General features: G+C 40.0%; 1 protein-coding gene and 1 long non-coding RNA gene across 12 annotated transcripts in view; one reads left to right on the top strand and one right to left on the bottom strand.

Moving 5' to 3' along the window:
- The window catches only part of CCDC30 (coiled-coil domain containing 30), a 201,084-nt gene that overhangs the window by 28,856 nt on the left and 145,440 nt on the right, over window positions 1–26,788 (bottom strand). For all 11 annotated transcript variants that reach the window (NM_001355226.2, NM_001395384.1, NM_001395517.1 and 8 more), the window contains one exon: window positions 17,245–17,357. In NM_001355226.2, the coding sequence (NP_001342155.1) occupies window positions 17,245–17,357 (113 nt within the window). The remainder of the gene's footprint in view (window positions 1–17,244; window positions 17,358–26,788) is intronic.
- LOC124904162 (uncharacterized) overlaps window positions 1–26,788 on the top strand; it is a 104,986-nt gene that overhangs the window by 47,472 nt on the left and 30,726 nt on the right. The window lies entirely within an intron of this gene.

The raw sequence follows: 26,788 nt of genomic DNA, 5'->3' as shown, positions 1-26,788 counted from the left end.
ATGAGCCTGTAAAATCAAAAGCAAGCTAGTTACTTTCTAGATACAATGGGGGTACAGGTATTGGGTAACTACAGCATTCCAAATGGGAGAAATTAGCTAAAACAAAGGGGTTACAGGGCCCAGGCAAGTCTGAAATCCAGTGAGGCAGTCAATTTTAAAGCTCCAAAATGATCTCCTGTGACTCCAGGTCTCACATCCAGGTCACACTGATGCAAAAAGTGGGTTTCCATGGTCTTGTGCAGTTCCATCCCTGTGGCTTTGCAGGGTATAGCCTCCCTCCTGGCTGTTTCATGGGCTGGCATTGAGTGTCTGTGGCTCTTCCAGGTGCATGGTGCAAACTGCCAGTGGATCTACCATTCTGGGTTCTGGAGGATGGTGGCCCTCTTCTCACAGCTCCACTAGGCAGTGCCCTAGTAGGGACTCTGTGTGGAGGCTCCAACCCCATGTTTCCCTTCCACACTGCCCTAGCAGAAGTTCCTATCCCTACAGCAAACTTTTGCCTGGGCATCCAGGCATTTCATACATTTTCTGAAATCTAGGTGGAGGTTCCTAAACCTGAATTCTTGACTTCTGTGCACCCACAAACTCAACACCACATGGAAGCTGTCAAAGCTTGAAGCTTCTACCCTCTGAAGCCACAGCCCAAGTGCTAAGTTGGCCCCTTTCAGCCATGGCTGGAGTGGCTGGGACACAGGGCACCAAGTCCCTAGGCTGAACACAGTATGGGGACCCTGGGACCGGCTCACAAAACCACTTTTTCCTCCTGGGCCTCTGTGCCTGTGATGGAAGGGTCTGCTGTGAAGGTCTCTGACATGGCCTGGAGACATTTTCCCACGGTCTTGGGGATTAACATTAGGCTTCTTGCTACTTATGCAAATTTCTGCAGCCAACTTAAATTTCTCCTCAAAAATGGGGTTTTCTTTTCTATTGCATCATCAGTCTGCAAATTTTCTGAATTTTTATGCTCTGTTTTCCTTTTAAAATGAAATGCTTTTAACAGCACCCAAGTCACGTTTTGAATGCTTTGCTGTTTAGAGGTTTCTTCCACCAGATACCCTAAATCATCTCTCTCAAGTTCAAAGTTCCACAAATCTCTAGGGCAGGGGCAAAATGGCACTAGTCTCTTTGCCAAAACATAACAAGAATCACCCTTGCTCCAGTTCCCAACAAGTTCCTCATCTCCATCTGAGACCATCTCAGCCTGGACCTTATTGTTCATATCACTATCAGCATTTTTTGTCAAAGCCATTCAACAAATCTCTAGGAGGTTCCAAACTTTCCCACATTTTCCTGTCTTCTTCTGAGCCCTCCAAACTATTCCAACCTCTGCCTGTTATCCACTTCCAAAGTCGCTTCCAAATTTTTGGGTATTTTTTCAGCAATGCCCCAATCTACTGGTACCAATTTACTGTATTAGTTCGTTTTCACACTGCTGATAAAGATATATACCTGAAACTGGGAATAAAAAGAGGTTTAATTGGACTTACAGCTCCACATGGCTGGGGAGGCCTCAGAATCATGACGGGAGTGAAAGGGACTTCTTACATGGCAGTGGCAAGAGAAAATGGGGAAGAAGCAAAACCGGCAACCCCTGATAAACCCATCAGATCTCATGAGTCTTATTCACTATCACAAGAATAGCACAGTAAAAGACTGGCCCCCATGATTCAATTACCTCCCCCTGGGTCCCTCCCACAACATGTGGGAATTCTGGGAGATAAAGTTCAAGTTGAGATTTGGCTGCGGACACAGTGAACTCATATCAGATAGTATTTGCAAGCCTTATGGTAACCTCAAACCAAAAAAAATACAACATATATACAAAAAATAAAAAGGAAACTAAATCATATCACAGAGAAAATCACCTTCACTAAAGGAAAGACAGGAAGGAAAGGAAGAAGGAAGAGAAGACTACAAACAACCAGAAAACAAATAAGAAAACATCAGGAGTATTAAGTCCTTACTTATCAATCATAATATTGAATGTAAATGGACTAAACCTTCCAATCAAAAGACATAGACTGGCTGAATGGATTAAAAAGCAAGACTCAATGATCTATTTCCTACAAAAAGGACATTTTACCTATAAAGATACAAATAGACTGGAAACAAAGGGATGGAAAAGGATATTCCATGACAATGGAAACCAAAAAAGAGCAGAAGTAGCTATACTTATATCAGACAAAATAGATTTTGAAACAAAAACTATAAGAAAAGACAAAAAGGTCATTATATAATAATAAAGGGGTCAATTTAGCAAGAGGATATAACAATTATAAATACATATATATGCCCAACACTGGAGCACCCAGATATATAAAGGGAGTATTATTAGAGCTAATGAGAGAGACAGATCCCAATACAGTAATAGAGGGAGACTTCAACACCTCACTTTCAGCATTGGACAGATTTTCCAGACAGAAAATCAACAAAGAAACATTGGATATAATCTGCATTATAGACCAAATGGACCTAATAGATATTTACAGAACATTTCATCCAATGGCTGTAGAATACACCTTCTTCTCCTCAGTATATGTATCATTCTCAAAGATAAACCATCAGGTCACAAAACAAGTATTAAAACATTAAAAAAACTGAAATAATATCAAGCATTTTCTCCGACCATATTGGAATAAAACTAGAAATAAACAGCAAGAGGAATTTTGGAAACTATACAAATACATGGAAATTAAACAATATGCTCCTGAATGACCAGTGGGCCAATGAAAAAATTAAGAAGGAAATTGAAAAATTTATTGAAACGAATGATAATGGAAACACAACATACCAAAACCTATGGGATACAGCAAAAGCAGTAAGTTTATAGCTGTAAGTGCCTACATAAAAAAAAACCTGCAAATAAACAATCTAATGATGCATCTTAAAGAACTAGAGAAACAAGAGCAAATGAAATCCCAAATTAGTAGAAGAAAAGAAATCATAAAGATCAGAGCAGAGATAAATGAAATCGAAATGAAGAAAACAATACAAAAGATCAATGAAACAAAAAGTTGTTTTTTTGAAAAGTTAAAATCAACAAAACTTTAGCAGGCTAAGAAAAAGAGAAGATCCAAATAAATAAAATCAGGGACAAAAAATGAGATATTACAACTAATACCACAGAAATTCAAAGTATCGTTAGTGGCTATTATGAGCAACTAAATTCAGTAAATTGGAAAACCTAGAAGAAATGAACAAACTCCTAAACACATACAACATAACAAAGATTGAACCATGAAAAAATCTAAAACCTGAACAGACCAATAACAAATAAGGAAATCAAAGCCATAAAAAAAAGTCCCCCAGTAAAGAAAAGGCCAGAACCCAATGGCTTCACTGCTGAATTCTACCAAACACTTAAAGAAATAATACCAATCCTACTCAAACTATTTTGAAAAATAGAGGAGAAGGAAATCTTTCCAAACTCATTCTACAAGACCAGTGTTATCCTAATACCAAAACCAGACAAAGACACATACAAAAAAGAAAACTGCAGGCCACTATCACTGATGAATATTGACACAAAAATCCTTAACAAAATAGTAGCAAACCAGCTGTATGCAGTGGACTCATGTCTGCAATCCCAACACTTTGGAAAGCTGAGGCAGGAGGACAGCTTGACCTCAGGAGTTCAAGGCCAGCTTGGATAACATAGCAAGACTCCATCTCTACAAAAAATTAAAAATTAGTTGGGCATCATGGGGTATGCCTGTGGTCTCAGCTACTCAGGAGGCTGAGGTGGGAGGATTGCTTGGGCCTGGAAGGTGGAGTTTGCAGTAAGCCAAGATCACACCACTGCACTCCAGTCTGGGTGACAGGGTGAGACCCTGTCTCAAAACAAACAAATGAAAAACCGAGCAAATGGAATTCGATAATACATTAAAAAGATCATCATGACCATGTGGGATTTATCCCTGGGATGCAAGGATGGTTCAACATACACAAATCAATCAATGTGATACATTATATCAACAGAATGACAAATGATGTGATACATCATATCAACAGGACAAAAACCATATGATTATTTCAACTGATGCTGGAAAAGCATTTGATAAAATTCAACATCCTTTCATGATAAAAACTCTCAAGAAACTGGGGACAGAAGAAACAATTTTATAAGAAACAAATTTATAAGAAGTCAAATTATTCTTGTTTGCAGATGATATAATTTTATATTTGGAAAAACCTAAAGACTCCATTAAAGAAGTACTAGAACTCATAAACAAATTCAGTAAAGTTGCAGAATAGAAAATCAACATACAAAAATCAGTAGCATTTTTATATGCCAACAGGGAACAATCTGAAAAAGAAATTAAAAAGCGATTCCATTTATAATAGCCAGACATAAAATTAAATACCTAGGAATTAGCTTAACCAACAAAGTGAAAGATCTCTATACTGAAAACTATAGAACACTAATGAAAGAAATTGAAGGACACCAAAGAACAGAAAGATATTCCATGTTCTTGGATTGGAAGAATCAATATTGTTAAAATGTCCATATTACCAAAAGCAATCTACAGATTCAATGCAATCCCTACCAAAATACCAATGACATTCTTCACAGAAATAGAAAAAACTATCCTAAAATTTATATGAAACCACAAAGGACCCAGAATAGCCAAAGACATCCTAAGCATAAAGAACAAAACTGGAGAAATCACATTACGTGCCTTCAAATTATACACAGAGCTATGATAACCAAAATGGTATAGTACTGGCATAAAAATAGACACATAGACCAATAGAACAGAATAGAGAACCCAGAAACAAATCCACACACCTACAGTGAACTCATTTTGACAAAGGTGCCAAGAACATACACCAGGGAAAAGATAGTCTCTTCAATAAATGGTGCTGGGAAAACTGGATGTCCATATGCAGAAGAATAAAACTAGATCCCTATCTCTCACTGTATACAAAAATCAAATCAAAATTGATTAAGGACTTAAATCTAAGACCTCAAAGTGTAAGAGTACTATAAGAAAACACTGGGGAAATTCTCCAGGATATTGGTCTGTGAGAAAATTTCTTGAGTAATACCCCACAAGTGCAGGCAACCAAAGCAAAAATGGACAAATGGAATCACATCAAGTTAAAAAAAATCTTCTGCACAGCAAAGGAAACAATCAACAAAGTGAAGTGACAACCCATGGAATAGGGAAAATATTTGCAAAATGCCCATCTGACAAGGGTTTAATAACCAGAATATATAAGGAACTCAAACAACTATGTAGGAAAAAATCCAATAATCTGATTTTAAAATGGTCAAAATATTTGAATAGACATTTCTGAAAAGAAAACATACAAATGGCAAACAGGCATATGAAAAGGTGCTCAACATCATTGATTATCAGAGAAATGCAAATCAAAACTACAATGAGAGGTCATCGCACCCCAGTTAAAATGGCTTTTATGCAAAAGACAGGCAATGACAAATGCTGATGAGGATGTGGAGAAAAGGGAACCCTCATACACTATTAATGGGAATGTAAATTAGTACAACCACTATGGAGAACATCTTGGGGGTCCCTCAAAGAACTAAAAATTGAGGCTGGGCATCGTAGTGGCCCATGCCTGTAATCCTAGCACTTTGGGAGGCCAAGGCGGGCGGATCACTTCAGGAGTTCAAGACCAGCCTGGCCAACATGGCGAAACCCCATTTCTACTAAAAATACAAAGAAAAAAAAAAGCCAGGTGCGGTGGTGCATAAGTACGCCTGTAATCCCAGCTACTCAGGAGGCTGAAGCAGAAGAATTGCTTGAACCTGGGAGGCAGAGTTTGCAGTGAGAAAGAAGGTGCAAGACTGTTTCAAAAACAAAAAACAATAAAACCTAAACATTGAGCTATCATATATTTGAGCAATCCCGCTGCTGAGTATATATCCAAAAGAAAGGAAATCAGTATATCGAAGAGATATCTGCACTCCCATGTTTTTTGCAGCACTGTTCACAATAGCCAATATTGGCAAGCAACCTAAATGTCCACCAACAGATGATTGGATAAAGAAAATATGGTACTTATACATAATGGAATACTATTCAGCCGTAAAAAAGAATGAGATCCTGTCATTTGCAATACATGGATGGAACTGGAGGTCATTATGCTAAGTGAAATAAGCCATGCACAGAAAGACAAACATCATATGTTCTCATTTATTTGTGGGATCTAAAAATCAAAACAATTCAACTCATGGAGATAGAGAGTACAAGATGGTTACCAGAGACTGGGAAGAGTAGTGGGGAAATTGGGGGAGGTGGGGATGGTTAATGCGTATGACTATAAAAAAAGTTTTAACTATAAAAAATAAAGAATGAATAAGACTATAGTCAATAATTGTACATTTTTTTAGATTGTACATTTAAAAATAACTAAAGAAACAGACCAGTTGCAGTGGCTCACACCCGTAATCCCAGCACTTTGGGAGGCTGAGGCAGGAGAATTGCTTGAGCACACAGGTTCGAGACCAGCCTGGGCAACATAGTAAGACCTTGACTCTACAAACATAAACAAAATTAGGCCGGGCGCGGTGGCTCACACCTGTAATCCCGGCACTTTGGGAGGCCGAGGCGGGCGGATCACAAGGTCAGGAGATCGCGACCATCCTGGCTAACACAGTGAAACCCTGTCTCTATTAAAAATACAAAAAAATTAGCCTGCGTGGTGGCAGGCGCCTGTAGTCCTAGCTACTCCGGAGGCTGAGGCAGGAGAATGGCGTGAACCCGGGAGGCGGAGCTTGCAGTGAGCAGAGATCACGCCACTGCACTCCAGCCTAGACCACAGAGCGAGAGTCCATCTCAAAATAAATAAATAAATAAATAAATAAATAAAATAAAATAAACAAAATTAGCCAGGTGTGGTGGCACATGCCTGCAGTCCCAGCTACTGTGGAGGCTGAAGTGGAAGGATCACTTGAGCCCAGGAGGTCAAGGCTGCAGTGAGCTGAGATTGCGCCACTGCACTCCCAGCCTGGGCAACAAAGCAAGACCCTGAAAAAGAAAAAAGAAAAGAAAAGAGAAAAACCAAAAAAGTATAATCATATTATTTGTAATGCAAATGCTTGAGGGGATGAGTACCCCATTCTCCACGATGTGATTATTACTCATTGCATGCCTGTATCAAAACATCTCATGTACTGCATAAATACACACACCTACTATGTACCTATAAAAATTAAAAATAAAATTTTTGTTTAAAAATCCACTTGTAACTTCTGCTAATCAGATTGTATATTCAGGGCAATTTGAATCTATGCTCTGGGTTGTAATCCCTAAGCCTGGATCAAATAAATTCTCTACTTACATTAATTTTGCCTCAGCTTCTTCCCTTTAGGTTGACAATGGCTACCTCATGAAACTTTCAAAAAAGCCCAAAAGGACTGGGTTTGGGGGACTTCTAAATAGCTGAACACAGGTTCCTGGAGGGTGGTGCACCCAGAGAGGGTATAGAAACTCCAAGCCCCTTCATGGGAAGGGATGATGTGCTCTGTTCATCTCTTCCACCTGGCTGTTCATCTGTATCATTTGTAATATCCTTTGTAATAGATGGGTAACATAAGTAAGTCTTTTCTTGAGATCTGTGAGCTGTGTGCCTTTTTCCTTAGCTGATTTTAATCTGTATCCTTTCACTGTAATAAACCATAACCATAGCTGTTTTTCTGAGTTTTGCACTTCATTCTAGGGAGTCATCAAACCTGAGGGGAGTCTTGGAGATTCCTGAGAGACAAGTTACTTTTTTTTTTTTTTTGCCCCTCATATTGTCCCACATACTTTGAATAACTGTGCTCTGCCTGATTTATTTGAGATCTTGAGCCAGCGAGGTCTGTAGGTATTTCCCCACACTCTTGTTTGAACTTCCCTGCAGGCAGCTCTTCCTCAAATATTGTACAGTTCAAGGTTACTGGTGTTTTCTAGTTTTATAAAAGCTTGTTTTTTTACATTTCATTTTAGGTTTGGGGGCACATGTGAAGGTTTATTACACAGGTCAAAACGTGCCACAGGAGTTTGTTGCAGATATTATTTCATCACCCAGGTATTGAGCACAGTACCCAATAGTTCTTTTCTACTCCTCTCTCTCTTCCCCTACTCCTCAAGTAGACCTCAGCATCTGTTGTTTCCTTCTTTGTGTTCATAGGTTTTTATCATTTAGCTCCTGAGAAGTTATTTAAAAGAAGTTATTCTAAAGAGAAGAATCTGACCCCAGAGCCTATGATCTTCCCATCATACCCCACTGCTATAATACTAACAAAAGTAGGCAAACAGATATTCCTGATTTCTCCTGATGAGATATACTTCATTTTGTACAACCAGAAGGGATTGGAAGAACAAAGCAGACTTATCTAGATGCTAATTTTAGTTAAACTGGTATGGAAGAACTACTCCAAGGGAGTCCTATATCCTTGTAAGTTGAAGGAAATGAAAATATTTCACTCCAAAGTATATTTCCTTGATATATTTCAGGATACCTATTCAGAATGGCTGGAAATACAAGAACAGTTGAAAAGTTGTCTTTCATGGGAGCAGGTGGATGGGGGGCGGGGATTTGCATCTATAGAGAATAAATTCAGCCAGGCTTTCTCTGAGGGCCTTCCTTCCTTTGTCAGATCTAGGAAAGATTCACTGAGAGTCTGAAACCTTTAAAGGTGTGAAAGCGATATTGACTATCTATTCTCTCTGAGGGCTGCTATAATACCTGTGAGGTTTCATCTATATAACAAGACCACCTTTGCTAGGGAGGCCTCCTCTTCTCCCCTTCCCTTAACCTGTTTTGCCATGATCTAAGCCCCCATTCTTTCTGTAATCTCAAGATGGTGTATAAGCTTCTATACCTCATTGGAGACTGGGGTAATCTTTCTGTGGTTCTCCCACACACACATTAATAGATTTGCATACTATTTCTCCTATTTATCTGCCTTTTGTCAGTTGATTTTTCAGTGAACCTTCAGAGGGTAAAGGAGAAGTTTTCCCTTGGCCCCTGCTAAGTTATGTCTTACCCTTAAATGCGTTTTTGCAGGGCTCCTCCATTTTCCAAAATAGTACTCCTCTTTCTCCTATTTGTTAAGTGTACATAAAAGAATCATTTTGCATGTTTTTCCCTGAAGAGATTAATTTAGCCAGATACCAAACTGAACAGTTTGGCTTCCTGTAGGCCAGAGGCATGTATACAAAGCTAGATATAGCTTGCTTGTCAGTGCATGCCGGAGTGATTGACTGCTGGGGTTGTACCCAATCCAACTTCTCCTTCTTCTACATTATATACCCCGATTTTTTTTTGCTGGGCACTGGTTTACTCAGCATAGGAACTACATTTTCTGGCTTTCCTTGCAGTTATATGAGGCCATGTAAGTTCTGGCCAACAGAATATTACTCAGCATAGGATGAGTTATTGCAGTTAAATGAGGCCATGTAAGTAAGTTCTGGCCAACAGAATATGAATGGAAGTAGTGTGCCTTAAAGGAAAATGGAATGCCCTTGCCTTCCCGTCGTTCTTTCTTACTGCCTGATATGTGGATATGGTAGTGAATTATTTTGAACTATGTGGATAAGGGAAACATGTTAAAGATGGTGAAGCAAAAACAAGATAGAGGGAGCCTAGGCTTTTGATCCATTGAGCCACCATCAGCACCCACTACATAATATAGGCATGTACTTTTGCAGACTGTGTTGTTCACAATTACCACAGCTGTGACTTAGGTTCTTTATAAGGAGGTATTCTTTACAAAAAGGTACACTTCATAACTGTTCTCATTCTCCTTTCTGCTAGGAACGTTTGGTAAAAGATATCACTGGTTTTCAGCCAGGCATGATGGCTCACGCTTGTAATCCCAGCACTTTGGGAGGCCGAAGCAGGTGGATCACCTGAGGTCGGGAGTTCCAGACCAGCCTGACCAACATGGAGAAACCCTGTCTCTATTAAAAATACAAAATTAGCTGGGCGTGGTGGCACATGCCTGTAATCCCAGCTACTCGGGAGGCTGAGGCAGAAGAATTGCTTGAACCTGAGAGGCGGAGGTTGCGGTGAGCTGAGATGGCACCACTGCACTCCAGCCTGGGCAACAAGAGCAAAACTCCATCTCAAAAAAAAAAAAAAAAAAAAAAAAGATATCACTGGTTTTCAACATCCTCCAGTCTATAGCTTCAGAGATGTAAGATCCAGCAGTATACCTGTCATCCTCTGGGTTTCCCAGCTGTTCACAGTTGCTCTGATGTTTTAACATCGTTTATAATACAACATGTACTTCTGAAACTGTTTTTGCAAAAATTATGACTGAAGAAATTATAATAGTGAAAGAGATCTGACCTAACTAACTCCATCTTACTTCTAACCTCCAAGCTGTTCTTGTTCATTCCTAGGTGTAGGCCCAACTAACTTTGGGAGAAACTTAGTTTATAGTTTAACTTCAAAACAAACTTGATAACAGCCCTTTCCCAAAACAAACCCCCTTCTTGCCTGGGGACTAGACTGCCTTTGCAGGACTAACAAATGAGCCACAAGATTAGAAATTATGGTTTAGGAGTCACTGTTGTAAACCTGAGATCAGTGCTTGAGATATTTTGCAGACCCTGTGTTGAGGTGCACCAGCTGATGACACCTAGATAGATAAACTGGCTCATGTGGTCTTGTGGCCCCCACCCAGGAACTGACTCAGTGCAAGAGGACAGCTTCAACTTTCTGTGATTTAGTCTTCGACCTGATCAATCAACACTCCCCACTTTCTAACCCCCTACCCACCAAATTTTCCTTAAAAACCCCTATCATCAAATTTTTGGGGAGACTGATTTGAGTAATAAAACTCTCGTCTCCCATACAGCTGACTCTGCATGAATTAATCTTTTTCTGTCTTGCAATTCCCCTGTCTTGATAAATCAGCTCTGTCTAGGCAGTGGACAAGTAGAACCCATTGGGTGTTACATTTCTGGAATTTCTTTCACCTATCCTATACTGGAATATTAAAACCCAAGTCTCTAACTTCTCATGCCAGACAGCTGCTCTCTTATTCTGCCATTTGGGTAATTAAAAAAATTAATTTATTCCTTAAAAAAATTTTTTTTTGGTAGAGACGAGATCTCACTTCGTTCCCTAGGCTGGTTTTGAACTCCTGGGTTCAAGTGATCCTCCTGCCTTGGCCTCTGAAAGTGCTGGGATTACAGGTGTGAGCCACCATGCCAGACCAATTTATTATTTAAAAGAATTAATTACAGAAAGTTTGGGAAAATCCCCAACTCCCAATATGACCAGTACTATGATATTGTATTTCCTTCTAATTCCTTTTATAAGCATCTTTTGTTTAAACATTGTCTGCATCAAAATGTTTATCGTATGCTCTTTTCACTTATTACAGTATAAGCATTTTCCCACATTGTTATCTAATATTCACAGCCATCATCCTTTACAGCTGTATTATGTCCTATTAAGTGACTGTATTATACTTTACCTAATTAGTCTCCTATTATTTGATATTTAGGATACTCTCCGTAATGTTACACACGGTTTGGAAAGCATGTTGATGCAGTACAGCTGGTGAGAACTTAGAGCTTCCCTTGTCATTGCTGGCTATTTGTCGCTACTATTGGTTCGGTCTGAAGTCCTGTTGGCTACCTTGCCTGAAGAACATGTAGATTTTCTATGCTTATTTTTGGCTTTGTTAACTATTAATGTTATGAGGTGACACAATATTTATGTTCTAAAATTTAGGAACAACTTTTAGCTTGTGTTTAAGTAAAACCAGGTTGTCTATACTTTGATTTGAAAAAAGCAAGGGAACTGTTCCTCTGGAAAAGTGGTAGAGAAAACGTAAAAAATAACCATTGCCTGTGAAAGTCAGGACTGGGATCAGGGAAATGAAAACAAAAATAAAGGTAGAGTTTCAATTAATTCCTTCCATTTTCTTTCCTAAATATAGTTTTCAACCTCGGATGCACATTAGAATCACACAAGGATGCTTTTAGAAAAGTATTGATCCACAGACCCTGTGCCCACAGGTTTTTATTTTATTCTTCTATGTTGGAGCCCAGGCATGTGCAGCGGGGTCAGAATCCACCACCCTAAAAGGCTGTGTACAAATAATGTGGAAAAACATTCAGCCTCACTAGCCATCAAAGAAATTCAAAATAGGCCAGGCACAGTGGCTCATGCCTGTAATCCCAGCACTTTGGGAGGCCAAGGCGAGTGGATCGTCTGAGGTCAGGAGTTCGAGACCAGCTTGGCCAATATGGCGAAACCCTGTCTCTACTAAAAATAAAAAAATTAGCTGGGTGTGGTGGCATGCACCTGTAGTTCCAGCTACTCGGGAGGCTGAGGCAGGAGAATCGCTTGAACCCAGAAGGCGGAGGTTGCAGTGAGCAGAGATTGTGCCACTGCACTCCAGCCTAGGTGACAGAGCGAGACTCCATCTAAAAAAAAAACCAAAAAAACAAAAAACAAGTTCAAAATAAAATCACAAGTAATTTCTGTCTATAAGTGCACTTAAAAATAATAGAATATGTTGAACAAAAGAAGTCAGACACAAAAGAGTATGAAGCTGCCCCAACAAGGTTGACAGGAAGTACATGCTGGGTTCTGGACAGCAATATAATTATAATAAAGCATTAATCAGGCTTCACTTTGGTCCACTTCCTTGTTGCTAAAAGTCACACAGCATTAGATACTGATCATTTGCATCCCCATTGTTCCTACAGACAGGACCTCTAACATTTAGAATCGTAGGGTTTTTTTTAAGAATTGCTTGGCCGGGCGCGGTGGCTCACACCTTTAATCCCAGCAGGGATTACAGGAGGCTGAGGCGGGTGGATCATTTGAGGTCAGGAGCTCAAGACCAGCCTAGCCAACATGGTGAAACCCCATCTCTATTAAAAATATAAAAATTAGCCGGGCAGTAGTGGCGTGCGCCTGTAATCCCAGCTACTCGGGAGGCTGAGGCAGGAGAATTGCTTGAGCCTGGGAGGTAGAGGTTGCGGTGAGCCAAGATCAGGCCACTGCACTCCAGAGTCTGGGCAAGAGAGTGAGATCCTGTCTCAAAAAACAAACAAACAAACCAAAGGAGTTGCTTAAGATGTTTTTCAGACACAAATTCCAGCAACCAGTTTGAAAACCCCCAGAGAGGAACAGCATCAGCATGAGAATATAGCTACTTCATCTCCCTGTCCTATGACTTCACCCTGGACTCTTTGACCTATCAACCATCTTCACATTTTGGCCCAATCCAAAATCCTTAAAAACCCTAAACCTAAGTTCCTCAAGGAGATGGATTTGAGGTTTCCTCCCATCTCCTCATTTGATGACTCTACGATTAAACCTCTTTCTCTGCTGCAACCCAGTGGCTTGGTGTATTGACTTGCTGTGTGCATTGGGCAACAAACCTATTATGGTTACCATTACATGTAGTATAATTCCATTTAGAAGAAATTCTAGGACAGGCAGAAATCAGAACAGTAGCTACTTGGAGGGAGATGGGAGAAGCAGTAGGTGCAGATCATCTGCAAACAGGTCATAGAGAACTTTTAAAGGACAGTAGAAATATTCTGTATCTTTTTTTTTTTTTTCGAGATGGAGTCTTACTCTGTCATTCAGGCTAGGGTGCAGTGGCATGATCTTGGCTCACTGCAATATCTGCCTCCTGGGCTCAAGTGGTCCTCTTGCCTCAGCCTCCTGAGTAGCTGGGACCACAGATGTGCACCACCATGCCTAGCTAATTTTTGTATTTTTGGTAGAGACAGGGTTTCACCATGTTGCCTGGCCTGGTCTTGAACTCCTGAGCTCACGTAATTTGCCCGCCTCAGCCTCCCAAAGTGCTGGGATTACAGGCATAAGCCACTGCGCCTGGCCCTGTTCTGTATCTTCATTGGGGTGGTGGTAATATGGGCACAAACATTTGTCAAAACTTATCCAATTGTACATTTAAAAATCTTTGCATTTATTATACGCAAATTATATCTCAATTAAAGAATATTGGCCAGGTGCGGTGGCTCACGCCTGTAATCCCAGCACTTTGGGAGGCCGAGGCGGGTGGATCACGAGGTCAGGAGATCGAGACCATCCTGGCTAACACGGTGAAACCCTGTCTGTAATAAAAATACAAAAAATTAGCCAGGCGTAGTGGCGGGCGCCTGTAGTCCCAGCTACTCGGGAGGCTGAGGCAGGAGAAAGGCGTGAACCCAGGAGGTGGAGCTTGCAGTGAGCCGAGATCCGGCCACTGCACTCTATCCTGGGCGGCAGAGCGAGACTCCATCTCAAAAAAAAAAAAAAAAGAATATTGGGGAAAATTTCATCAGAACCTCTCTCCCCCATCAATAGTAGTATTCAATGCTAACGAGGATGTGGTAAAATTGCTACTCTTATATAATGAAGGCAGAAAAATTTGGTAGTGTCAGAGGCATTTGAACCAGAGCAACTCCATGTTGAATAAGCTGGGTAAAATGAGAATGAGACTTGCTGGGCTGCATTCCCATGAGTTAGGCATTCTTAATCACAGGATGAGATAGGAAGTCGGCACAAGATACAGGTCACAAAGATCCCTGTGATAAAACAGAATACAGTAAAGAAGCCAGCCAAAACCAGCCAAAACCAATATGGCAATGAAAGTGACCTCTGGTCGTCCTCACTCCCCATTATATGCTAATTATAATGTATTAGCATGATAAAAGACACTTCCATCAGCGCCATGACAGTTTACTAATGCCATGGCAACATCTGGAAATTACCCTATATAGACTAAAAAAAAGAGGAACCCTCAGTTCTGGAAAAATTCCTGTCCCCTTCCCAGAAAGCACATGAATAGGCCGGGCACGGTGGCTCACGCCTGTAATCCCAGCACTTTGGGAGGCCGAGGCGGGTGGATCACGTCAGAAGATCGAGACCATCCTGGCTAACACGGTGAAACCCCGTCTCTACTAAAAATACAAAAAAAAATAAGCCGGGCGTGGCAGTGGGCGCCTGTGGTCCCAGCTACTCTGGAGGCTGAGCCAGGAGAATGGCGTGAACCTGGGAGGCGGAGCTTGCAGTGAGCCGAGATCGTGCCACTGCACTCCAGCCTGGGCGACAGAGCGAGTTTCCGCCTCAAAAAACTAAAATAAAATAAAATAAAATAAAGCACGTGAATAATCCACCCCATATTTACAATCAAGAAATAACCATAAAAATAGCCAACCAGCAGCCCTCGGGGCAGCCTCTGTCTATAGAGCAGACATTCTTTTATTTCTTTACTCCCTTAGTAAGTTTGCTTTTACTTTACTTTTTAGATTTGCCCCGAATTCTTTCTTGCATGATTTCCAAGAACCCTCTGTTGGGGTCTGGGTTCAGGACCCCTTTCTGGTAATAGTAGGATACTTTGGAATGTTTGTCAATACATTTTAAGATCTATAGTTCTATAAAAATAAATTTAAAAATGAAAAATATAATACTAAAATGATTTTTTTCAGCACTGTTTTGAATAAAAATATTCAACCATCAGACCAGTGAGTAATTCTTAACCAAATTAGGATTATGTTGTGAGAGTTAATTCCAGCAGGTCTAGGATTAACCTAAACTGTTTTGCTAAAGTGCCTGTTTGGCACTGACTGTTGGTCAAGCATACGACAGAGGGAAATATAACGATTAAAATAGTGTGGCATCATAACCTCAGGTCCAAGTAGTTTCATGGCAGTTTGTACCAGTTTATCAGCATTGTTTATTGATAACAGTGATAATGATGATTTGCACCTGGTCTCATTGAGACCCCCAAGAAGTCTCTGCTCTTGAAACAGGTTACATGGCAGGAATATGCTTATGTGAACAACAGAATATAAAAAGTATTTAATAAAATCTCAGCTGAGACTTGGTTTTGGGCTCCCTGGTTGTGAGGTGGTCAATGCACACATGAGTGGTTCCTGATCTGAGGGAGGAAGTGCATCCAGCCACGACCCTTACAGAGTGAACAACATTGCAGCTGCTGCCTGACTTCTCTGGCCCCCTTGCTGTGAAACACACATGGGCTCTAATGCATATTCTTCCTCTAATGCTGTTTCTATATGATATCCTATTCCTGAAATAAGGTATACATTTGTTAGCACTGTAATTGTATGTTCTGTTTGTCTGTTAGCAGTTGTACCCTGTTTAACTGCTGCTGTTAGTGCAAGGGCATATCAACTTCATGAAATATTAAGTTTTATGGAAATAGCAAATTTGAAGACTATAGCAACAAAGCACAATGCTTATCATATGATATTAAGAGAAAGACAGTATAAAACTTTTATGAAAGCTATAATAAAACCATAAAATTATGTTTATTGACAAGACACTAGGAGTGAACTTGGGAGAATGTCTGCATAAGTTTTGTTTCATTCAAAAATTTTACACTGAGAGGTGTGCCATAAATAATTACAAAAAAAAAATTGCACTGGGCACAGTGGCTTATGCCTGCCTATAATCCCAGCATTTTGGGAGGCCAAGGAAGGAGGATCACTTGAGGCAACATAGTGAGACCCCTGTCTCTATAAAAAAATTAAAAAGTGAGCTGGGTGAGCCTGTACATGACTGCAGTCCCATCTACTCAGGAGACTGAGGTGGGAGGATCACTTGAGCCCAGGAGGTTGAGGCTGCAGTGAGTTGTGATCGTGACACTCCACTCCAGCCTGGGTGACAGAGTGAGATCCTATCTGAAAAAAGAATTTTTTTTTGCAATGTTGTTTCATTATATGTAAAATGAAAAAAAAATTAACTGCCTAAAAACCAAATGTCATTTTACCTTTGGACAATGGTATTTGCCTGATATACATATATGTATGTATGTATGTATGTATAGAAAGAGAGAATATATAAGTACCATATATGTAATAGGTATATCATTATATATAACATCTATATAATATACATATTAGTAATATTTTGTGTCAGTTCTCTAAAATAAAAAATAAAAAAGCTCTTTAAATGAGGAGAGGGTGGTTCAGGCTGAGGAAAGTATGTGAGGTGAAAAAAAGTGTGAAGGCAAGTGAGAAGGGTGTATTTGGGGAAAAACAAGTTCAATACCATCAAAGCTCAATGAATGGTAATTCCCTTCTCCTTCCCTCTCTTGAGAAGAAATTAGGCCCCATATTTCCCTAGGAAAAGCCCTGTGGATAGCACTTTTGGAAACATAGGAATTTTATGATGGCCCTCTTGAAAGGTTGCTTCAGTGAGCAGCCCACCATTTAGCCCTAGAGCCTGCTCAGCAAGAAATAACTACTCTACATAGTTTTCTTCCAAAGAGAACTTGTCTTTGTTTACCTCACATGGACATTAAGCAGCTTCAATAATCGCAAATATTCTTCACGTAGAGCTTCCTTCTCTTGCTGTAGCTTAGATAGCTTCTCTGACAATTCCTGGTTGCTTTTGACATGCTGAAAAACATTGAAAAATAATGAGAACTCTGACCTGACAAAGGTATGATGTTGAAGAAATGCAAAGTCTTTCTGGTAAAAAAAAAAAAAAAAGCTTATAGTCACTCCTGCTTCTGAGATCATAGTAGCTTCACGGGATTCCTGTACTTCCAGATTTTCTGAAAGTCAGCAACTATTTCCCCTTGCCTTTTGCTTCCCCAGCCTTCCCAATAATTTTGTAAGCATCTAATTCCCTTTATTAAAAATCTTCCAAGGCCGCGTGTGATGACTCACACCCATAATCCCAGGACTTTGGGAGGCTGAGGCAGGCATATAGCTTGAGCTCAGGAGTTTGAGACCAGGCTGGGCAATATGGTAAAACCCCATATCTACAAAAAAATATAAAAATTTGCCAGGTGTGGTGGTGTGTGCCTATAGTCCCAGCTACATGGGAGGCTGAAGTAGGAGAATGGCTTGAGCCTAGGAGGCAGAGGTTGCAGTGAGCTGAGATCATGCCACCACACTCCAGCCTGGGTGACAGAGCCAGACTCTGTCTCAAAACAAAACAAAACAAAACAAAAAAACAAAAAATCTCCCAGCTTAAAGTATATAAAGTGAAAGCTGTTCTCTTCAGTTAATTAACTCTGATAAAATATTTGGTTCTATAAGTGACTGCAGTGATGAGAAACTCAAAATTAGGAATTTGGGATTGGTTATCTGACTTGGCTAGCTTTGAAGGTGATATAGTCTTGTCACTAGTTCTAGCAATCTATGGCAAAAGAATTGATTATCACTTATAGTTGCTGGTAATGAAGTACTTTGGAAGACCACATGAGTGGTATAAAAAATGTTATAATGGAATTGAGGACTACAAGGATTGTGAGGTGGGCTAGCCACATCTGATCATGTTACTGAGCTTAGAAGAAAATGTCCAACTTGGGGATTTAATTACTGGAACAAGGCATTGTCTGAGAACCACAGATCTTCTATGAGTGTCCTAAAATAATTTCTCTCTTGTAGTCAGAAGACCGATATATCCAAAAACCAAATCCCAAATATCAAGTGGACTGCAGAATTACAGCACTAATTGATTTCACAGGCTTGCTAGGTCTCTTATGTGAGAAACAGGCTTTGGGAATGCGTGGAAACCTGAGAATTACAGTGCCTCTCTTGCCATCACAAGCACTCCCTCCACTCCTGTCTAAGGAGATTAAGTTTGAAGATTCTGTATTGATTTCACCCAAGGCACTTACCTTGTAAGGGGATGCCTATAGTCCTCGAGGCCCACCTCTATACCACCACCACTTCTCATTGTCTCCAATCCTGTAACTACAGTTGGATCCCAGCACACCATGGTTAGTTGGGGTTAAGTGTAGGGACTGACTTTGGGACTGCCATATTGAAAGAATGGCAAGATTTTGCCAACTTAAATTGGCAAAAACTCTAGGACTATATTCAGGAATGTATTTGTAGGGAGTTACACTAATCAGTGCCCCTAACCCCTGAACAACATGAGAGTTAGGGGCACTGACCCCCCACACAGTTGAAAATCTGCATTATGATTTTTTTGACTCCCCACCAAATTACTAATAGCCTACTGTTAACTAGAGGCCTTATCAACAACATAAGCAGTTAACACATATTTTGTATGTGTATCATGTATTGTACTCTTGCAATAAAGTAAACTAGAGAAAATAAAATTTTATTAAGAAAACGATAAGGTAGAGAAAATATATTTACTATTCATTAAGTAGAAGTGGATCATCACAAAATTTTTCATCCTCATTGTCTTCATGTTGAGTAGGTTGAGGAGGAGGAGAAGAGGAGAAATTGGTCTTGTTATCTCAGGGGTGGCAGAGCTGGAAGAGGTGGAGAAGGTGGAAGGGAAGGCAGGAAAGGCAGGGACACTCAGTATAACTTTACAGAAATACACTGTAATTTGACTTTTTTGCTTTTTCATTTCCCTAAAAATATTTCTATACAGTACAAATCCTTCTTTCATTGTTTGTGTTAGTTTCAGTGCCTGTATCACATAGAAATGTCCATATTGTAAAATCTGTCAAAAGCAGTCTTGAATATTTGGAATCCTTCTGCCAGATTGTCTAAGGTCAATTTGTTTTCTAGTACTGCTTTTTCTGTTTTCTTCCTCATCATGTGGCACTGGTTTGAAAGTGCTAATCTCCATCAAGTTGTCTTATGGTAATTCCTCCTCTGGATGTGGTGTCTATTTGCTCTTGAATTTCTCCAAGATTCATATCTTTTTTTTTTTTTTTTTTTTTTTTGAGACAGAGAGACGGAGTCGCGCTCTGTCTGTCGCCCAGGCTGGAGGGCAGTGGCGCGATCTCGGCTCACGGCAAGTTCCGCCTCCCGGGTTCACGCCATTCTCCCGCCTCAGCCTCCCGAGTAGCTGGGACTACCCAGGCGCCCACCGCCACGTCCGGCTAATTTTTTTTTGTATTTTTACTAGAGACGGGTTTCACGGTGTTAGCCAGGGTGGTCTCGATCTCCTGACCTCGTGATCCGCCCGCCTCGGCCTCCCAAAGTGCTGGGATCACAGGCGTGAGCCACAGTGCCCGGCCAGACTTGATGGCTTTCACAGCTTTTTCTATAACAATGATGGCATGTCCGTGCCTGTCACTTGCCACATAAACTAAAAATGACAAAAATCAAAACAAACAAAAACAATGATGGCATCTTCAACAGTGCAATCCTTCCAGACTTCTCTCTCTATCGGGGTTCTCTTCCATAGTTGACAATCCTTTCCATAGAGTACCGTGTGTGATGAGCCTTAAAGGGCCTTATGACCCCTGATATAGAGGCTGAATTACAGACATGGTGTTTGGGGCTGAATTACAGACATGGTAATGAGCCTTAAAGGGCCTTATGACCCCTGGTCTAGAGGCTGAATTACAGACATGGTGTTTGGGGCTGAATTACAGACATGGTAATGAGCCTTAAAGGGCCGTATGATCCCTGGTCTAGAGGCTGGATTACAGACATGGTGTTTGGGGGCAAGTAGACCACTTCAACATCTTTGGTGTTGAACTCATGTGGTTCTGGGTGGCCAGGGGCATTTGTCCAACATCAAAAGAACCTTAAAAGGCAGTCCCTTGTTACCAAGGTACTTCTTGACTTCAGGCAGAAAGCATAGATGGAATCAATCTAAAAAAAGAGTTCCTGTTGTGCAGACCTTCTTTTTATACAATGAAATGACTGACAGCTGGTGTTTACCTTTTCCCTTCAAGGCTTGGGGATTAGAAGCTTCATAGATATCCCTTTCTGCTTTAAATCCGTGTTCACTGATTTTCCTTACTAATACATGTCCTTTGTGATTTTTTTTTTTCCCAGAACAGGGCACTTTCACCCACATTCAAAAACTGTTCAGCAGATATCCTATTTCCTCAATGATTTTCTTCCTTCCTTTCTTTTTTTTTTTTTTTTTTATAGAGACAAGTTCTTGCTATGTTGCCCAGGCTGATCTCGAACTCCTGGCCTCAAGTGATCCTCCTGCCTCAGCCTTCCAAAATGTTGGGATTACAGGAGTGAGCCACTGTGCCTGGTCACAATTATCTTCTTAACGGCATCTGGGAACTCACCTGCTGTCTCTGTCAGCAGAAACTGCATCTCCTGTTTTCTTGACATTTTTAAAGCTAAACCTCTTCCTAAAATTAACAAACCACCCTTTTTAAAGCTAAACCTCTTCCTAAAATTAACAAACCATCTTTTGCTGGCATTATTATTTTTTAGAGATTGGGTCTTTCTCTGTTGCCCAGGCCAGAGTACAAAGGTGCAATCATAACTCACTGTAGCCTCAAACTCCTGGTCTCAAGTGATCCTTCCACCTCGGCTTCCCTAGTAGCTGCTACTTTGCTAGCTTTAAATTCTCCAACTTTAAATTCTTCACTTTCCTTTTGGTTTAAATTGTCATATAATGACTTCTCTTTTTCTTGAGTCATATTAGAATCTATAGATATGCCCTTCTTATAGTAATCCTGCACCAACATAAAAGCTGCATTTTCAATATGGATAAAAAGGTATTTCACAAAAAGTGCATGGTTTTTACGCCTGCTAGCACAGCTGCAGCAACAGCTTCATGAATTTGCTTTTCTTTTTTTATAACGGTCCTCATGGTGGATTCATTTATCTTGAAATGTTGAGAAACCACAGTTGCAGACTTCATCTATGGTACCTATGAAGCAATTCAGCTTTTTATTGTAATGTCATAATTTTTCTTTGTTTCTTGGCAGCATTTCCGACGTCACTAGTGGCTACTTTGTATGAGTCCCATGCTGTAATTTAAGGTTTATGGTATTGCACTAAACACAGTGAAAAATACTTGAGACCCACGAGAGATTTCTTTTTAATTCAACACAAAATTTACTGGCCAGAGGAACCTGCTCATGCAAAGAAGATTGGTGTCACATGGCATTTTAAGAGGATACTTGCAACATGTGAGCTCGCTGCAGGCCGAGGCGGGTGGATCACTTGAGGTCAGGAGTTCGAGACAAGCCTGGCCAACATGGTGAAACCTCACCTCTACTAAAAGTACAAAAATTAGCCAGGTGTGGTAGCAGATGCCTGTAATCACAGCTACTAGGGAGTCTGAAACGGGAGAATCATTTGAACCCGGGAAGCAGAGGTTGCAGTGAGCTGAGAGCGCACCACTGCACTCCAGCTCGGCAACAGAGTGAGAATCTGTCTCAAAACAAATAAATAAATAAACTTACTGCAATACCAAAATGCAGTGGCTATGAAATTATTACAGCAGTACAGTGTGTACTATAGTTAATTTTATGCAGTTATGATTTAATACTGCATCTTTACATTTGTTTACCTTTCTCTCAACTGCAAATGACGCTATGTATGGTCTGTAAGTGTTTGTGTGTGTGTTTTCATAAATGTTAACTTTATAATAGAGTTAGGTATACTTTATGGAGTAAAGATAAAATAGTATCTACATATACGCTTTCACAACGTGCCTAACTTTTTCAATGTTTCTAAGCTATGTGGCTCATCTGCAAGTTTTTTTAAATTCTGGCAAATCTCCAGAAAATTTTCCAAAAGAATCTGCATACAAGTGGACCAACACAGTTCAAACCCATGTTGTTCACAGTCAAGTGTAATGTTAAATAGGCTGAATTTATTAATATGAATACACTTATTGGACATTCAGGATTTAATGTGTTAATTTGAACATCTAAGAGTGACTTTGGGCCAGGTGCAGTGGCTCATGCTTGTAATCCAAGCATTTTGGGAGGCCGAGGCAGGTGGATCACTTGAGCCCAGGAGTTCAAGACCAGCCTGGGCAACATATTGAAACTCTGTCTCTACATGCAATAATAATAATAATAAAATAGCCAGGCATGGTTGCATATGCCTGTAGTCCCAGCTACTTGGGAGACTGCGGTGAGAGGATGACTTAAGCCCAGGCAGTTGAGGCTACAGTGAGCCATGATGGCACTACTGCACTCCAGCCTGGGCGACAGAGTGAGACCCTGTCTGAAAAAAAATAATGACTTTGTTTGCTCTTTTGATTGACTGAAACTTGGACACACAAGTGACTTATATTAAATGATATTAAGGTGCCAAACTTCTTTGGCATAAGGGAGAAAAAGGCATCCAAAGGTTTAAGCAGATAGGAAATTTGGGGTGGGTTTATAGTTACTCTTCATAACCATGGGAATCCAAAAGATACTCCCCTCACCAAGGCTTTACCAAATAACACTGGTGAAAAAGCACCAAATTACTTGAAATGCTATATAATGCTAACCTATTGAGGATAATGGTGGAGGTGCCAACACTGAAATGGCTCCCTGATTTTAATGGGGATGATGGTACTACACAGTGTCAGAGGTCAAGCGGCAGTGCTTAACTTTCAGATACAAGGTAAGTATTATTAATGTTAGTAGGAAATTGGGCCAGAGATACAATCAAAGGGTTTGACCTATAGCTATCTTGTCATAGTTAGTTGATGACAATGACTGTAGGACTAAAATATACAGGCAGCCAATTAAAGTCTTACCTGAAATGTATTTTCAAACAAAGAAGTAAGTAAATAAATAAATAGAACCCCTTAGGTCTGGTGAACAAAGGCCCAATTTAAATGACAAGAATGGAAAGTAATGGCCTCTTCTTGTTCAATCCCTAGGCCTGGGTCAGCTCACAGATCCAGAGTCCTTTGAATGATGAGCATGCCAGGTTTTCTTCAGGAAAAACCCTGTGATACTGACACAAGTATGTGATCTTCTTCCAAACATTCCCCTAAGAGGACCTGTAGCCTCTTATCAAGGGGACTGGGCATTGGAGAAAGGGAATTATATAGACTTTTGGCGAACAGCAGTACAGTGATTCTGAGTCAACACTAATAGCTTGGAACCCAAAACACCATTGAATTTCACAATTCGAGGTGTGGACCTTAAGGAAATGAGGTGAAAAATGGAGTTTAAAATCACAGTGTATCTTAGGACACGTCCGCAGTGATTCAATGGCTACATGTATGTTTCTGAATCTCCTCAGTGGTTATTTCCCTAATTCTTGAATGTATAGTCAGAATAGATAATCTGGGATAGCAGACTCTCCATACTGGCTTTCAACCTGAGGAGTGAGGGCTATTGATGGAAGAAAAGGCCAAGTGCTTGGAGTTGCCTCTTTAGATTCTGGAATCAACATATACCACATTTGTTCCTTCAACTCATTTAATTTTTTAAAAGACAGAATCTCACTCTCAAATGCCTTTCTAAAATTAACAAACCATTCTTTGCTGGCATTATTATTTTTTAGAGCGTGGGTCTTGCTCTTGTTGCCCATGCTGGGGTGGGGTGCAGTGGTGCAGTCACAGCTCAGTGCAGCCTCAAATTCCTAGGCTCAAGTGATCCTCCCACCTCAGCCTCCCAAGTAGCTAGGACTACAGGCATGTACCACCCAGCTAATTAAAAAAAAATTGGAGAGACAGGGTCTTACTATGTTGCTCAGGTTGGTCTCAAACTTCTGGCCTCAAGCAATCCTCCCACCTCAGCCTTCTAAAGTCCTAGAATTACAGGTGTGAGCCACTATGCGTGTCCCTTCAAACCACTTATTAAGTGAGGGCTACAAGTTTTTAGTGGTGTCCAAAGAAAGACATTTTTCTTGCTTCCAAGTTTTGGCAGTTATGAATAAAGATGCTATAAACATCTGTATGCAGGGTTTTGGGTAGGCATAACTTTTTCAACTCCTTTGGGTAAATACCAAGGAGCATGGTTTCTGGATCATATGGTAAGAGTACATTTAGTTTTGTGAAAACCAGCAAACTGTCTTCCAAAGTGACAGCGCCATTCTGCATTCCCACCAGCAATAAATGAATGCAAAGATATTGCTTCATATGCTTGCCAGCATTTGGTGTTGTCAGTGCTCTGGATTTTGGTTCATTCTAATAGGTATGTAGTAGTATCTCATTGTTGTTTTAATTTGTATTTCCCTGATGACACATGATGTGGAAGTTTCCCATATTTCCAGTTTACTGACAGCATTTATAGTGAATGGATGTTGGATTTTGTCAAATCCTTTTTACGCATTTGCCATGGTTTGAATGATGGTGTTCCCTCCAAAATTCCTATTGAAACATAACTCCCAATGCACCAATATTAAGAGGTATAGCCTTTGGGAGGTGATTAAGTCATGAGGGCTCTGTCCTCATGAATGGAATTAGCATCCTTATAAAAGGGCTCCCAGTTGAAGGGAGCATCCTCTTACCCTTTTATCCTTTCCACTATGTGAAGACAAAGAGTTCCTCCCCTCCAGAGGGTGCAGCAACAAAGTGCCATTGGAAGCAGACAGCAGACATCATCAGACACCAATACTGCTGGCATCCTGATCTTAGACTTCCCAACCTCTAGGACTGGAAGAAATAAATTTCTGTTGTTTATAAATTACCCAGCCTAAGGTATTTTGTTATAGCAGCATAAACAGACTAAGATAGCATCAATAGATAGAATCATGTGATTTTCCTTTTTAGCTTGTTGATGCGATGAGTTACATAATTTATTTTCAAATGTTGAACCAGTTTTGCATACCTGAGATAAATCACTTGATCATGGTGCATAATTCTTTGTATACATTGTTGGATATGGTTTGCTAATATTTTGCTGAGGATTTTTATATCTACGTGAGAGATACTGGTCTGTACTTTTCTTATAATGTCTTTGGTTTTGGTATGAAGGGAATTCCAGCCTCATAGAATTAATTAGGGAGTATTCCCTCTGCTTCCATCTCCTAAAGAGACTACAGAGAATTGATATAATCTATTCTTAAATGTTTGGTAGAAATCACCAGTGAAACCATCTGGGCCTGGTGCTTTCTGTTTTAGAAGGTTAGTATGTGGATTCAATTTCTTTAATAGATATAGTTCTATTCAATTGTCTATTTCTTCTTGTGTGAATTTTGGCAGACTATATCAAGGAATTGGTCCATTTTATTTAGGTTATCACATTTGTGGGCATAAAGTTGTTCATAATATTTATTGATGATTGCTCTAATGTTCGTGGCATCTGTAGTAATGTTCCCTCTTTTCATTTCTGTTATTTGTAATTTGTAACTTATGTCCTCTCTCCCTCTTTTTTTTTGTTAGCCTGGCTAGAGGCCTATCAATTTTATTAATCTTTTCAAAGAGCCAGTTTTTAGTTTTGTTATTCTATTGAATACCCATTTAAATTTCATTGATTTCTTCAAAATTTTTTTTTTACACAAACACCACCATGTTAGATAATTTCATTGATTTCTCCTGTAATTTTTATTATTTCTTTTTTTTTCAGCTTACTTTGGATTTAATTTGCTCTTCTTTTTGTAATTTTCTAAGGCCAAAGCTTAGATAATTGATTTTAGATATTTTTTTCCTCCTCTGTATATTTTCAAATACCCTGTCTTGAGCTCACTGATTCTTCTACTTTATCCATTCTGCTGTCAAGAGCCTTTAGTCCATTTTTCAGTTCAGCAAATGCATTTCTCACAGTTCTAGGATTTCTGTTTGATTTAAAAAATTTTCAATATATTTGTTGAATTTATCTGATGAATTTCTGAATTTCTTTTCTGTGTTATCTTGGAATTCACTGAATTTCCTTAAAACTGCCATTTTGAATTCTTGATCCAAAACCTCACACATCGCCATCTTGTTAGGGCTGGTCACGGTCTCCTTGCTTTGTCTGTTTGGGGAAGTCATGGTTTCCTGTTTGCTGTTGTTCCTTTGGGCTTACATCTTTGTCTTCACATTGAAGGATTAGTTATTTATTCCAGTCTTTGCTGGCTGGCTTCTTTTTGTCTTTCTAGGGTGTGTTTGCTTACAGGTTCTTTGCAGTTCACCTGTTGAATCCCCTTTACTCTAGGTCACTGCCTCCTTTTCAGGACTAGATGGGTGCCTTAAGCCAAGGTTTGCCTCAGTTCTCCAAAACATTTGCAGTGCTGCCCATCCTGGATTGTGGTTA

Source organism: Homo sapiens, chromosome 1 (assembly GCF_000001405.40).
Source record: "Homo sapiens chromosome 1, GRCh38.p14 Primary Assembly".
Classification (NCBI taxonomy): Eukaryota; Metazoa; Chordata; class Mammalia; order Primates; family Hominidae; genus Homo; species Homo sapiens.
Note: the sequence above shows the minus strand (reverse complement) of the source record. Positions and strands in the feature narration are given on the sequence as shown.